Source organism: Homo sapiens, chromosome 9 (assembly GCF_000001405.40).
Source record: "Homo sapiens chromosome 9, GRCh38.p14 Primary Assembly".
Lineage (NCBI taxonomy): Eukaryota > Metazoa > Chordata > Mammalia > Primates > Hominidae > Homo > Homo sapiens.
Genome location: NC_000009.12, coordinates 86219735 through 86235604, shown reverse-complemented (window position 1 = coordinate 86235604; position 15870 = coordinate 86219735). Strand labels below are relative to the sequence as shown.

General features: G+C 41.9%; 1 protein-coding gene across 3 annotated transcripts in view; it reads left to right on the top strand.

The window, feature by feature from the left end:
• C9orf153 (chromosome 9 open reading frame 153) overlaps nt 1–15340 on the top strand; it is a 39393-nt gene extending 24053 nt beyond the window's left edge. For all 3 annotated transcript variants that reach the window (NM_001276366.4, NM_001276367.4, NM_001276368.4), the window contains 3 exons: nt 5976–6067; nt 7575–7750; nt 13872–15340. In NM_001276366.4, the coding sequence (NP_001263295.1) occupies nt 6002–6067; nt 7575–7750; nt 13872–13917 (288 nt within the window). In that variant the 5' untranslated portion in view covers nt 5976–6001 and the 3' untranslated portion in view covers nt 13918–15340. The remainder of the gene's footprint in view (nt 1–5975; nt 6068–7574; nt 7751–13871) is intronic.
• The last annotated feature ends 530 nt before the right edge of the window (nt 15341–15870 follow it).

The window sequence follows — 15870 nt, the reverse complement described above, 5'->3', positions numbered from 1 at the left end:
TTTTGTATTTTTAGTAGAGCTAGGGTTTCACCATGTTGGTCAGGCTGGTCTTGAACTCCTGACCTCATGATCCACCCGCCTCGGCCTCCCAAAGTGCTGGTATTACAGGCATAAGCCACCACACCTGGCCTTTTTTCTCTTGATTTTTCAGGTTTGGAACGTTCTGTTGAGATATCCTCAAGCTCGGACATTCTGTCCTCAGCCATAGCCAGTCTACTAATGAGCCCATCAATGGCATTCTGCATTTCTCTGACAGTGTTTCTGACCTTTAGCATTTCTTTTTGATTCTTTCTTAGAATTCTCATCTTCTGCTTATATACCTGTCTATTCTTGCATGCTGTCTACGTTTCCCATGAGAGTCCTTAGCACATTAATCATGGTTGTTTTACATTCACAGTCTGGTAATTCCAGCATCCCTGCCACATCTGAATCTAGTTCTGATGCTTGCCCTGTCTCTTCAAACTCTGTTTTTTTGCCTTATAATCTTTTGTTGAAAGCCGAACATGATTCCTGTACTGGCTCTTCTGGAGGCTTCTGCCCTGTTCTCGAGGAGCTTCCTACTTCAGTAAGCTGCAATTCCCTGTATTTGCCTGTCTGTTTCTCCAATTTTAGGTCAGCAATTTGCCCTGTGACCTTACTTCTCTGCCAGATCTAAGAAGAGTTGCTGGTACTTCCAAGCTCCTTGCATGCCAGAGGAGAAGCCACACTAGAAGTCCCGTTGCCCATATTTCAGCTGGGTTGTCTTTTAATTGCTGATTTCTAAGTGTTCTTTGTACATCTGTATACAAGTTCCTTGTCAGATGTATGATTTGTAAATATTTTCTCTCATTCTGTGATTGGTCTTTTCACTATTTTCACTAAAGCACCAAAGTTTTTAATTGTGATGAAGTCCAACTTATTTATTCTCTTCTTCTGTAGCTTATGTTTTCGTGTTATACGCAAGAAACCATTGTCTAAGCCAGGGTCACAAAAATTTACCCTTATGTTTTATTCTAGGAGTTTTATAGTTTCAGCTCTCATACTTAGTTCTATAATCCATTTTAGGTTCATTTTGTGTAAGGATTGAGGTAGGGGTCTAATGTCATTCTTCTATGTGTGGATATTTAATTGTCCCAGCACCATTTATTGAAAAGACTATTTTCCTCCATTGAATTATTTTGGCAACTTTGTCAGAAAATCGATTCACCATAATTGAGTTCTCTTTAAATAATTTTTAGCCTTTATTTCATTTCCTGTTATTTATGTTTCCCTTTTATATGACACAATAGCTATTCAACATTGTGGTTCTCTCCATTTCAGCTTCAGTTCTACTATGTTTTTATTTAGATTGTCATAAAAGAGAAGGAAGGACATTCTGTCTGACTAAATGGGAAATCAGAGTGAGCATAAGCTCAAAGAAAGAATGCACAGAAGCGCAGAAGATTTTTTCAGAAAAAAATGAGCCCAGCTGGCTAAAGTACAGAGAACATTTATGGCATTGCGGTAGCATTGAAATATGGTCATTATTATTATCATTTTTTTTTGAGACAGAGTCTCACTCTTTCTCCAGGCTGGAGTGCAGTGGCTTGATCTCAGCTCACTGCGACTTCCACCTCCCGGGTTCAAGCGATTCTCCCGCCTCAGCCTCCCGAGTAGCTGGGACTACAGGGATGCACCACCATGCCCAGCTAATTTTTGTATTTTTAGTAAAGATGGGGTTTCACCATGTTGGCCAGGATGGTCTTGATCTCTTGACCTTGTAATTCACCCGCCTCAGCCCCGCAAAGTGCTAGGATTACAGGCGCCAGTCACCGCGCCCGGCCGAAATATGATATTTTTAAATGATAGAAAAGTGTCAGAAGCAGATTGTGAATAGTCTTTGTAAGTCTGGTCAAGAAATTTATAAATTGGACGAGCACAGTGGCTCACACCTGTAATACCAGCACTTTAGGAGGCCAGGGCAGGTGGATCACCTGAGGTCAGGAGTTTGAGACCAGCCTGGCCAACATGGCAGAATCCCGACTCTACCAAAAATACAAAAATTATCCAGACATGGTGGCACATCCCTGTAATCCCAGCTACTCAGGAGGGTGAGGCAGGAGAATTGCTTGAACCCGGGAGACGGAGGTTGCAGTGAGCCGAGACTGCGCCACTGCACTCCAGCCTGGGTGAGAGAACCAGACTCTGTCTCAAAAAAGAAAAAAGAAAAGTGAGGACTGTAAAAACTACACTAGAATTGATAATTAAGAAGTCACTATTGTTTTTAAGAATTCAATTTTAGTTCATCAGCCAGGTGGAAGCTAAATGTCATTATACTGAAGATTACATGATGAAAATATAAATACAGCAAGTTCAGAGGTAAAGAAGAGACAAGAGTCCAGGGTTAGTGGTAGGATCACAGTCAAGAGAAGTTGCATTATTACCCCAAGTGGAAAACATTTTACATATTTGCAAAGAAAGGAAGGAGCCATTGGGGAACATGAGACTGAAGATAAGAGAATGATAGGAAGCAAGAAGGAAGACAAGAGGAGTTGTTGTTGGAAGGGAAGGGAGGATAACTGAGGGGAAATATTCCACAAGAGTTATGAGGAGGGGCCGGGCGCAATGGTGCACGCTTGTAATCCCAGCACTTTGGGAGGCTGAGGTGGGTGGATCACTTGAGGTCAGGAGTTTGAGACCAGCCTGGGCAACATGGCAAAACCCTGTCTCTACTAAAAATAAAAAAATTAGCCGGGTGTGGTGGCGCTTGCCTGTAGTCCCAGCTGCTTGGGAGGCTGAGGCAGGAGAATGGCTTGAACCCGGGAACTGGAGGTTGCAGTGAGCTGAGACTGTGCCACTGTACTCCAGCCTGGGTGACAGAGTGAGACTCTATCTCAAAAAAAGAAAAGAAAAGAAAAAGAATTACGAGGAGGATAAAATATACACCCTGGGTGGGAGAGAGAAAAAATTAACATTAGATGAGCAGAGAGAACTTTTTTCCTTCTGATTTGGAGGGAAGGGTGAAAAGTTGGGGGTGAGTGCAAATGGAGAAGAGGATACCATCCCCGAGAGTTTCTGTGAGACGCCCTTGCTCTTCACAGTACAAGGAAAATTTACTGTAGGAATCTGTGGGAGTAACGATGAAGAGAAGTGCCACAGTCCCCTGCAAAAGCTTCACTTTACTCACACAAATCTGTAAACAGGCCATTGGCCATATTTCCATGACTTCACCAGGAACACTCTCCATGAGAGATTGGGTCAAAGGGCTGGTCTAGATTTAGGCATTGACTTGGATCAAGCAAAAACTGAGGTTAAAAGTTTGCTAGTCAAGTCAACCTTTAAGTGTCTAAAAGCATTTTCGGCTAGTGATCTGTTTCAGCATTCGGAATCCTGACACTTCAGTGAGAGGGAAATGCACCCAACGGTAGTTTAGCAAAGAGAATGAGCAAGAATCTAAACTTATTTGTGCTCCATTCCTTGTCATCATCAATACTATTGTAATAACATGAGGACATATTTCTTAGCTATTGCTTTGACTCCATGTATAGAGAGTTGGAGATTGGCCATTGAAGTTGGATATTGGCACTGCTGATTAAAATTGGGAGGTGGCAGGGAGAGAGAGAGAAAAGGGGAGAGAGGCGAGAGATTACATCTTTCCCTCCTCTGAGGGAAGGGAGGAGAAAATTTATTAACCCTTGGTGATGGGAGAAGGCAACCTTCCTATGGTGGACAACTCTGAAGCTGTCTGAAAGACAATAGCAATGATTGACTGGAAGACATTGACAGGTTTTAGGTAAAGCACATTAGAGAAATATTTTCCTTTGCAGAAAAAATTTCCTTCCTTTGCAGGAGGAAAGCACAATCAAGTCTCATTGTAATTGCCTAGAGATAAACAGGTCTGTGGCAGGCATGCTGCACTGTATTGCTTTTCTAGTCCTGTATATCAATATAGTGATCTCAGTAGTGACAAATAGTGACAAAAATGTATTTGAGATTTTATATATATATGTATATATGCATATACATACATGTATATATATATATATATCCATGTTTGTGTATGTGTGTGTGTGTGTTTTTGTGTGTGTGTGTATCCATTCTGGGTTTTTCTACTTTACTCAGGAAGGAAGAGAAACATAATTGTTTTCACTTCATTCCAAATACCAAGTGAGTGTTTTTGGTTCATCTCAGACACTCATCCCAGTGACCACAGCTGCCAGTCATGATACAGTGGTACCCTGTACCTAGAAATATATTTTCCATCCATATATTCTCTTACCTACCAATAAGGGTTTCACTGGAATAAATTAAGCCAAGAATGTGAAGTTTTATGGGGTTTATCTGTATTTATTGCTATATAACAATTCATGCAAAGCTTAGTGGTTTGAAACAATAATAATTTACTCTTTGTCAAAATTTTAGAGTTGCCTTGCTCAGCTGGGAGGTAGTTCTTCTCCATCTGGGATTGGCTGAGGTTGCTTATGCTGCTGTAGTTATCTGGAGGCTCGTCTGGGGCTGGGTGAACCAAGATGGCTTTATCTACATGTCTAGTGGTCAATACTGGCTGCTGAGTCTGCATGGTCTCTCCAGATAGGCAGCCAGATCTCTCTTTACATGGTGGCTCAGGCTCCCAAGAATGTGTAGGAAAGCCGCAAAGCCTCTTAAGGTCTGGGTTCTGGCACTCACACTATGTCACTGACACAATGCCACAAGCTATTGATCAAAGCCAAGCATAGGCCAGCCCAGTAAAATGTGGGAGAGAACTTAACTGCCACTTATCAATGAGATGAATTGTGGAGATTCCATGGCCATTTTTAACGTCTTGCAGAAAAATTAAACACAATTCCATCTGCAAAATGCCTTATAGTGTATCTGACACAAAGTAAATTATTTTCAAAATATTTATTGTTTTTATTATTATCATTACATATGAGCCTTTTCCTCCTGAATAAAAAACACTTTTTGAGTGTAAGGAGGTGGGTGAGTTTTTCTTTAGATGAACTGAAAGTTGATCAGAATATGTAAGACAAGAAAATAAAACTATCCAGCTGGGCGTGGTGGCCCACACCTGTAATCCCAGCATTTTGGGAGGCCGAGGTGGGTGGATCACCTGAGGTCAGGAGTTCAAGACCAGCCTGACCAACACGGTGAAACCCTGTCTCTACTAAAAATACAAAATCAGCCAGGTGTGGTGGCACATGCCTGTAATCCCAGCTACTTGGGAGGCTAAGGCAGGAGAATTGCTTGAACCCGGGATGCAGAGGTTGCAGTGAGCCAAGATCGTGCCATTGCACTCCAGCATGGGCAACAAGAGTGAAACTTCATCTCAAAAAAATAAATACATAAAATAAAAAATAAAACCATCCATATAGGATTTGTTACACTAGTATTAAAACTAAATACACATGTTGTAGAAGAATTTGGGTATTTCAGTGAAATGCTCAGTTGAAGCATGACAAATTTGGCAGACCTAAACTACGAAAAAGCAAATGAAAAGTTTAAATTGTATTGATATGCTTTGGATTTGTGTCCCCACCCAAATCTCACATCAAATTGTTATCCCCAGTGTTGGAGGTGGGGCCTGGTGGGAGGTGACTGGATCATGGGGGAGGATTTCCCCTTGCTGTTCTCATGATTGTGAGTTCTCATGAGACCCGGTTGTTTAAAAGTGTATAGCACTTCCCCCTTTGCTCTTTCTTTCTCCTGTCCTGGCCATGTAAGACGTGCCCTGCTTCTCCTTTGCCTTCCCCCAATAATTGTAAGTTTCCTGAGGCCTCCCCAACCATGCTTCCTGGACTGTGTGCAGAACCATGAGCCAATTAAACCTATTTTCTTATAAATTACCCAGTTTCAGATATTTCTTTAGAGCAATTCAAGAATGGACTAATACAGGTATAAAATTTTCAAAATGTCCCACTCACAAATTTATTAAGATTTAAGAAGTCTCACCTCCCCCTTTGTATTCTATCTGATTTTTAATCTTTGATTTTTGTCTTTTCTCATATTGCTTTTTTTAGGAATTAGAGAATAAAATCCCAGCACGATGTTCCTCACTGGAGACACCAGTCCAGCTGAGGACAATAGAGAAGCCACCCTTCCTCAATGTTCAGTATGTACTTAACATTGTACAACGAGGTGTACACAGGGAGCTTTACATTCAAGAATCATAAACATTCAAACTATTGAACGCACAGTGACACACTTGGGAGCCATGGGAAACTCCAAAATGTCACTTTAATGACTTAACATTCTTAGTCACAGAGAAGTGTAGCTCTTCCCAGGGCAGGTGGGCAGAAGTGCTGAGCTGTTTTCGTGATAGTGTGGTTGTATAATTCGTTATAAAGAGCCATTCACCAATGTTAGCACACTTTCTTTTTTTTTTTTTTCTTTAGGAAAAGATGTATTAACCAGAGAACAATCCAGCCCAATTTCCAGGCTAAAGATTTCATGATATCGGTCCAAACATCACACTATTTAACTCCCCAAAAAAACACTGGAAAAAAAGACTATCAGTGCTAACACATTTACTTATAAAATCTCCACCTATGTACCAATTTCTAAAACAGTTACAAGACAGATACACAATTTGGGGTAAACTAACAAAACAGACTATTATAAAATATTAAAAGCAATCCTCCTGGTCCACGGGCCCTTGTCGCCTCTTACTTGAAGTTGGCGTAACTGAGAATGCATCCATATATTCCTGCACCACCTTGTAGCAGAGCTCATACTGGTTCCAGGGTCTGGACCACTTGTGTAGCCTCTGTAGCCGCAGACTCTTGACATTCTGGAAGACGTCCAAAGTCCCTTCTACTTTCCCACGCGTTAGCTCACTTTCTATTTGTTGCCCTTGCAATAAAATTGACTAGGATTGAAGGAAAACTCTGCATTGGGCTAAAGGACCTAAATTTCAGCCCTAACCTGAGACTATGGCCTCTTTGGCCTTCCAGTGTAATGGCCTAAGAAACCTCTTAGAAAGGATAGGATTTGTAGGAAGTATAGGATTTTAGATGGGGACAGGTCCTCTCAGGGATCTGTTACTGTTTTTTTCTGCCAATAACTATTCCCAGATACTCAATGTATGTCACCATTTGCTCTGGTCACATATCCCAGTGAGCAATGACTATTGTCGCCTCCTCAGCACTGGATTCCTGAACATTATGGGCTCTTTGGACAACAGGATGAAGCTCTGATATCTAAGTGATCTGGCTCGCTTTCTTCCTTCAAAGACATAATAGCATTGTTCAAAACAAGCAAAGGCCACAGTCTCCCACAGCTATTTCTCTCCGTGGTCACTCATAGAATTTCAGAGTTGGAAAGATCTTCAAGACTTCTTAGTTCAATTCTAACTGCCTAATTTTATAACAAGCATTTATAAGACGTGTCTAAATAATACATCTTTAAGGGAGTGAATCGGAGATTTGACCTCTCTGTTCTCTATTCCACATTGCCACAATTGACTTGCTTTAGTTAGGCAAAGATATCTTCCAAAGATAAAAATGCTTTTGTCTTTATGGTTATTTATTGTCCTATGGTTTTTTCTAGGGTTTGTAGGTCTGCCAGAATATTACATTTTTGTCAGTCTCGTGACTTACCACTTTTTTTTTTGTCCACAGCTTCCAGAATTATATGCATGTATTGAGAATTTTAATAAGGAGAGCAAGAAATCAAATCTTCTAAAAATGCATGGTATTTCACTTAACGAAGCACAGGAAGTACTTGCTAGAAACCTGAATGTCATGTCATTCACCAGGGGCGCTGATGTGAGAGGAGATCTCCAACCTGTTATCAGGTGCACAGTGGTTAAAAAAGAGAAGCAAGCATCCATGATTGAGCTCCTCTACCGCAGCTTACTGGCAAGCTCACTCTCTCCCATGGAGAGGCTCTCCAGGTCCCAGCAGAGGCTGTCACAGTGTGGGATCTCCCCTCCCAAGCACACTTTTCCTTATGAAATTCTCACCGATCACTCGAATGCCTTGGCCCAAGTTACCGTACAGAAGGTTCCAAGCCCCAAAATCTTATGCAGCTTAGGCATTTCCAGTGCCACCCCAGAAAAGTTCATTTCTGAAGATAAACTTTGTAGATCCTTCTTAGTTGACCCAGGTAATTTAAACAGATGAGGCCATGTGGGAGAAAAGGAATGGAAATCTCATTGCAAATTTACTAGAGCAGAAATGGTCCAATACTGACCTACAGCAATTTTGTAGTTCTGAGGTTCATGGCTGCTATTAATATGTTTGCTTTATACAGTGTCAATAAAATGAACAAGCCTGGAAAACATAGAAAGACCCCATCTCCAAAAATAAATAAATAAATAAATAAATAAATAAAAATTAGCTGAGCTTGGTGGCATGTGCCTGTAATCTCGGCTACCCGAGAGGTTTAGGTGGGAGGATCACTTGAGCACATGTGTTTGAGGTGGCAGTGAACTATGATCACACCACTGCATTTCAGCCTTGGCAACAGAGCAAGACCCTGTCTCTAAAAAATGAATAAGTAAAAATAAAAATAAAATGCAGAACAGAGAACCCAGAATTCCAGGATCAAGTCTCAGATTCACTCTTAAAAAGATATATTGTTGGGCCAGGCATGGTGGCTCATGCCTGTAATCCCAGCACTTTGGGAGACCGAGGCGGGCAGATCACCTGAGGTCAGGAGTTCGGGACCAGCCTGGCCAACATGGTGAAACATGGTCTCTACTAAAAATACAAAAAATTAGCTGGGCGTGGTGGTGGGTGCCTATAATCCCAGCTACTTGGGAGGCTGAGGCAGGAGAATTGCCTGAACCCAGGAGGTGGAGATTGCAGTGAGCAGAGATCGCACCATTGTGCTCAAGCCTGGGCCACGAGGACAAAACTCTGTCTCAAAAAACAAACAAACAAACAAACAAACAAAAAACCATGAAACTTATGATGCTGAATTTTAATGAGAAGGGAGTGTCTTACACTTTAAGTCTCCATCTTATATAATTTGAGAGAGGTAATATTTTGTCATTTTTTAATAGATTACATCAATTTGTGATAACCCTCTGAAGCAGTTTCTTGATTCAAGATAAGACCATTTTCACAGCAAATATTTTAACACCACCATTTTTATATTAAAAGTAGTGGGACGGGGCAATATGGCAAAACCCCGACTCTACAAAAAAATTTTAAAAATTAGCCAGGTGTGGTAGCATGCACCGGTAGTCCCAGCTACTCGGGAGGCTGAGGTGAGAGGATAACTTGAACCCAGGAGGCAGAGGTTGCAGTGAGTCAAGATTGTGCCACTGCACTCCAGCCTGGGGAACAGAGCAAAACTCTGTCTCAAAGAAGAAAAAAAAAAGTAATGGGAGAGGCAGAAGGAGCAAATTTAAAGGAATAGATTGATTACTGTGAGTATATTTGGTCCAAAGAGTTGGAAGAGCTTTTGCTGTAACTCCCTACATTGACATCTTAACAGAGCCAAATGCAGGCTTCGAAATCCTTTCATAGAGTCCTACGTTGCCTAAGTAGCAGTGCAATTAAAGCAATGATAGGACTGGCCTAGATAATTCGCAAAGTACACAAGTAAAGCCTGGGACCAGAGAGGAAAAATCATGAAAAGTGTTGAGACTCAGTAAGAAGAACTAATCAAAAACCTACTGAAGAAGGGTTTTGGATGTTTGATAAGGTCTTGAACATTTATGACTTTCACATGTATACGGGCCAAGTTTTTCTTTCTTCCTAATGCATGAATTACCTGCTGGTTACCTAACTTCTGGAGGTCTCTGATGTGGTCTCACAAACTGTGTTGGAGTCTCTTCTCTGCCTCCATATCTTCATTTCCTGAGATCCCAGAGGTAAATTTCTGGTACATGTCATGTCTATTCAAGAAATATGCTGGCTGGGCATGGTGGCTCACGCCTATAATCCCAGCACTTTGGCAGGCCAAGGCGGGTGGATCACCTGAGGTCAGGAGTTCAAGACCAGCCTGGACAACATGGTGAAACCCTGTCTGGACAACATGGTGAAACCCCGTCTCTACTAAAAATACAAAAAAATTAGCTGGGCGTTGCGGCGGGCACCTGTAATCCCAGCTACTTGGGAGGCTGAGGCAGGAGAATCGCTTGAACCCAGGAGGCAGAGGTTGTGGTGAGCCAAGATCGCGCCACTACACTCCAGCCTGGGCAACAGAGTGAGACTCCGTCTCAAAAAAGAAAGAAAGAAAGAGAGAAAGAGAGGAAGGAAGGAAGGAAGGAAGGAAGGAAGGAAGGAGAGAGAGAGAGAGAAAGAAAGAAACGAAAGAAAGAAGGAAAGAAAGAAGGAAGGAAGGAAGGAAGGAAAGAAAGAAAGGAAAGAAAGAAAGAAAAAGAAAGTGCATGGAGTCAGGCAGGAATCTAAGTGAAGGGTATCCAGTAATCCCTTAGGGGTAATTAGTATTGCAACAATTCATCTTCTACTCTCCTACTCAGTCCAGAAGAACTTTAGGATCCTGGTATTCCAAAGTATACTAAAGAACATATTCCTACTGGCACCAAGCACCGGGGGAGGAAAAGAGAGTGGGTGTTGCCGTTTTGCTCTTCTATCGTATGAGCTCCTCTTGTTCAGGCTAAATCCCATAGAATCATATAGCTTAGGAATCAAAAATAACAGAAAACCAAATAGTGGTTATTTTTCTTACATAATTAGAAGTCTAGGGGTACGCAGACAAGGGCCGGAACAATGCTTTTTTTTTTTTTTTTTTTTGAGACGGAGTCTCGCTCTGTTGCCCAGGCTGGAGTGCAGTGGCACAATCTTGGCTCACTGCTACCTCTGCCTCCCAGGTTCAAGCAATTCTCCTGCCTCAGCCTCTCCCATGTAGCTGGGACTACAGGTGCCCACCACCAAGCCCAGCTAATTTTTTTTTTTTTTTTTTGTATTTTTAGTAGAGACGGGGTTTTACCGTATTAGCCAGGATAGTCTCAATCTCCTGACCTCGTGATCCGCCTGCCTCAGCCTCCCAGTGCTTTTTATGTCTCTATTTATTTAATGAACACATTGTCATTGTACATATATATGGAGTACAATATATGTTTCAATAGTGTTATATAGTGATCGAATCTGTGTATTTATCCTGACCTCATGCACTTACCATTTCTTTGTGGTGATGACTTTGAAAAGCCTTCCTTCTAGCTATTTTGTAAGATACCATATCTTATTGTTAACTATCCTCACCTTACTGTGCAATAGAACACCAGAATTTATTCCTCTTATCTAACTGTAACTTTGTTCTCAATTATTTATTTACTTCAATTTTAATTTTTTTTTTTTGAGACACTGTCACCCAGGTTGGAGTGCAGTGGCACAATCTCAGCTCACTGCAGCCTCAACCTTCTGGGCTCAAGCAATCCTCCTATCTCAGCCTCTCAAGTAGCTGGGACCTCAGGTGCATGCCACCACAACTGGCTAATTTTTGTATTTTTTGTAGAGATGGGGTTTCATCATATTGCCCAGGCTGGTCTTGAACTTCTGAGCTCAAGTGATCTGCCTGCCTTGGCCTCCCAAAGTGCTGGGATTACAGGCGTGAGCCACTGGTCCTGGCCCATTTTACATTTTTTTGAGATGGTATCTTGCTATGTTGCCCAGGTTGGCCTCAAACTCCTGAGCTCAAGGAATCTTTCTCCTTCAGCCTCCCCAGTAGCTGGGACTACAGGTGCATGCCACTATGCAGGGCTTCTAATTATAACTCTGAACCCATTGACTTATCTCTCTCCATCCTCCCCTCCCACTCCCTACTCTGTCTCTGGTGACCGTGATTCCACTCTCTGTGGAGCGATGCTTTCAAATGTCTCCAAGGACCTGGGCTCTGCCATTTTTTTGTGTGTAGCTTTTGTTTTCATGTCCAAAAGACATCTTCACCCTCGGAGGCTGTGGCCACATTCCAGTCAGGAAAAGGTGGGATAGGATGAAGAGCCACATTGACACTTCTGTCCTCTTTTAATACGGAAGCAACGATTTTCCAGAACACCTCTCCTTAAGTGATTTCTTTCTACATCTTCTTGGCCAGAATTGTGTCCAATCATCACCCCTTCCTGTAGGGAAGGCTGGTGAATAAGAGTTCTTAGCTCCCCCCTCTATAGCAGAGGAAGGCAGAAGAGGATTGCAATGCGTGTGGAGTAAGCCAACCTAAAGTGTCTGTCAGAGATCATGACGTGAAGCTTCTTTTTTTATTATTTATTTTTGACAGAGTCTTGCTCTGTCACCCAGGCTGGAGTGCAGCAGCACGATCTCGGCTCACTGCAACCTCCGCCTCCCAGGTTCAAGTGATTCTCCTGCATCAGCCTCCGGAGTAGCTGTGATGACAGGTGCCCGCCACCAAGCCCAGCTAATTTTTTGTATTTTTGGTAGGACCAGGTTTCTCCCTGTTGGCCAGGCTGGTCATTTTGGGAGGCCGAGGTAGGTGGGTCACCTGAGGTCAGGAGTTTGGGACATGAGGCTCTTTAGTCATCAAAATCATCAGCTCTAAACCTTCTCTTGTTAAAGATCCCCTTCCTTCCTTTTGCCACCACTTCTTGCTATGCCAGGCCTCCAAAGATCTTGTCAAACTCCCTGAAACTTGGCAACTGGCCTTATGAATGGACTGCTGAACACCATGGCAGTATCTGTTCTACTTGGGGAGGTATGAGCCCAACGAAGAGTCTCTGGCACCTGTCTTCTACTTCAGACATGTACAAAGTCTATATAAAGACTTCCCACCAGGCAGGCCCAGGCCCTCCCAGTACAGGGATGGAGGACTGATTGGAGTGGAGTGGTGCCTGCTCAGTCTTTGGACTACAGGTGACATGCTCAAATGTCACCACATGTGGGACAGTAAGGTCACCCACCAGAAATAGACCAGTCATCCTGCTTGTCTGCTGTGACCATAATTCTCCTTATACTTGTTCCCGTGGCCCGTTGGCTCCTGGTTTTACACTCCAACCCATGCCTTTAGCCTTGATTTGTTGTTGTTTTCAGCGTTATTTAGCCATGAAAAGGGTGGAAGAGAAGGGAGAGGGGAATCGCTGCTGGTGGGGAGAACATGTGCTGTGTCTTTGCTTGATTCTTTCTCCTTGGCTCATTGGCTACTTGAAGGAATTGTAACTGCTAATGACACCTCAAGCTTGTGGTTTCTGAATGAGTATGGAGAATGGCCAGATTCTAGCTCAGCCACTGCCCTTTTATACTTAGGGCTTACATTAGCATCTTGGAAGAAATGACACTAACAATCTGTGCACTTCTAACCCATCTTCCTCCCTGTTTTTGGATCCTTTTCTCCTCCCTGCTGCTTTCGGTGCTCTGCAGAGCTCTCCATTTGCACATTCTGTTAGGATCCAAGCACAGAATGAAATACTCCGTCCACCTGCCGGGGCTCTGCAGGGTCCACTCAAGCCCAGTTAGCCAGACCCACTCAATTGCTGTTTAGGGGCAGGCTTTACATGAAATTGACATCACAGGGTCTCCCTTAAGTTTATAAAGCTTTAGGCCGGGTACAGTGGATCACTTCTGTAATCCCAGTATTTTGGGAGTCTGAGGCGGGTGGATCACCTGAGGTCAGGAGTTTGAGACTAGCCTGGCCAACATGGTGAAACCCCGTCTCTACTAAAAATACAAAAAAAGTAACCGGGTGTGGTGGCGGGTGCCTGTCATCCCAGCTACTCAGGAGGCTGAGGCAGGAGAATCATTTGAACCCGGGAGGCGGAGGTTGTGATGAGCCGATATCGCACCATTGCACTCCAGCCTGGGCAACAAGAGCAAAACTCCGTCTCAAAATAAATAAATAAATAAAAATTAAAAATAAAGCTTTAGAAATGGCTTTCTGCCAGAAAGAGGGGACTCGAGTTCATCAAAGGTTTACCCTGTCCATGAAGCATCTCTGAGTAATGAAAGGCTGAGTAACAACACCATGTGATTCTTTGAAAATATGATTCTTTTCAGGAAAACAATTCATGAATCTAAGGGATCTGGAATGGAGATATTTTAAGGGGCTTGCGAAGTGGAGGCGCACTACTGCAATTTCATTCGGAGACATAAAATACAACACTGAGAAGAGATTTGTAGAGAGCCAGGACATGCCTGACGTTATTTTCCCCCCTATAGTTCGCAAGTCTTTGGTCATTTATCCTCAAATTGATTATCAAAATGAAGGAAGTTATTCTCTTAAATGGAATATGTAGTGTATTAAAATATTTTGGACGTAGATTTTTGCTTTTGAGAGCATTGATTTAATACACAAAAAGTAAAGAAGCCAAGTACCCAATAGAACATCTGAAGTGAGTGTGTACAACACACATGAAGGTATATTGTAAAATTAAGCCGTTAATACAGAGCAAAAGGTCCGATTTAATCTGCTAACGTGAGAAGTGGTTTGGACGGTGCAACCCATTTGGACCAGGGCTAAAGCAAATATAGGTCATATGAAAAGAAAAGGTGTAACTGAAGAACACTCAAGCAAGCATAGCTTTTTAAGGAATTTTAAGCACACAAGGAAGTTCATCATCATAAAGTATTTGGTACATTCAACAAACAAATTAACATCTGAGCATATAGAGATCAATATGAGAACTTAAATATAATCTATTAACTGTCCAGTGACAAAGAAGGAAACAGCATCCATGAAATAAGAACAGAAAGATTTGTAAAAGAACAAATTGGAAATCTTGGAAATGAAAGATATAGTCATTGAAAATTATAATAATAACCCTTGATAATTATCCCAGTGGTAGCCTGGATATATCTGAAGAGAGAGGGCTAACAAGTTGGAAGACAGCATTGAAAAGCTTAGAGATCATAGCACTGTAAGACAGAAAAATAAGAGTATTGGACGGTAGAATGAGAAGTTCAGAAATGTATACGATGGAATTAGCAGAAAAAAAATAGGAGAATGGAAATTAAGTGATATGTGAAAATAAAATGACAGAAAAATCTCAAGAAACACATGAGACCTTGAACTGAAAAATCTCAGACTGATTAGCAAGATATTGAAAATAAATCTATACCCAGAAATACTGTAGCAAAACTATGGACCACTAAGCAGTAAAGGAAAATATAATCTACGAAAGAGAGATGGATTACATACAAAGAAATGACAAATTGACAATAGAATGCTCATTAACAATAGAGGTCAGAGGACAATAGTGTCATATACTTACAATGCTGAAGGAAAATAGCTGTCTGTAATTCTATAAGCAGCCAAACTCTCTCTGAGGAGTAGGGGGTAAAATAAAAATGTTAAAAAATACATGGGCCTAAAAATGTTTACTATCCATAATCCCTTGCTTAAAAAAAACTACTAATAAAGTATGTATTTTAGTAAGAACCCAGAGGGAATGCAAGAAATAATGGCAAGCAAATTGTTAACAATATATGTGTGTATGATTGTGTAGATATTAAAATACATTTCCGGATCCTGTTTCCTAATATGCTATTTTTAAAAGTCGTCTCCATATAAATGAAATTATTCTGTAGTCTCCACTTTTTGCACTATTTTTTAAAACCAGATTTTGGTATTAAAGTTTATGCTGTGGCTCATACCTGTAATCCCTGCACTTTGGGAGGCCAAGGCAGGCAGATCACTTGAGGTCAGGAGTTCGAGACCAGCCTGACCAACATGGGGAAACCCCCATCTCTACTAAAAATACAAAAATTAGCTGGGTGTGGTGGCGTGTGCTTGTAATCCCAGCTACTCAGAAAGCTGAGGCAGGAGAATCGCTTGAACTCTGGAGGCAGAGGTTGCAGTGAGCCCAGATCATAACATTGCACTCCAGCCTTGGCGATAGAGTGAGACTCCAGCTTAAAAAAAAAAAAAAAAAAAATTGTGCTGGCTTCAGCACGTGACTATCTTCAGCAGAAGATACTGTCTAAAATGAGCATGGGGTGGGTATCTGGGGTGCACACAGTGTTCTAGTTTTTAATCTTTTTGCACAGATGTGTTCAG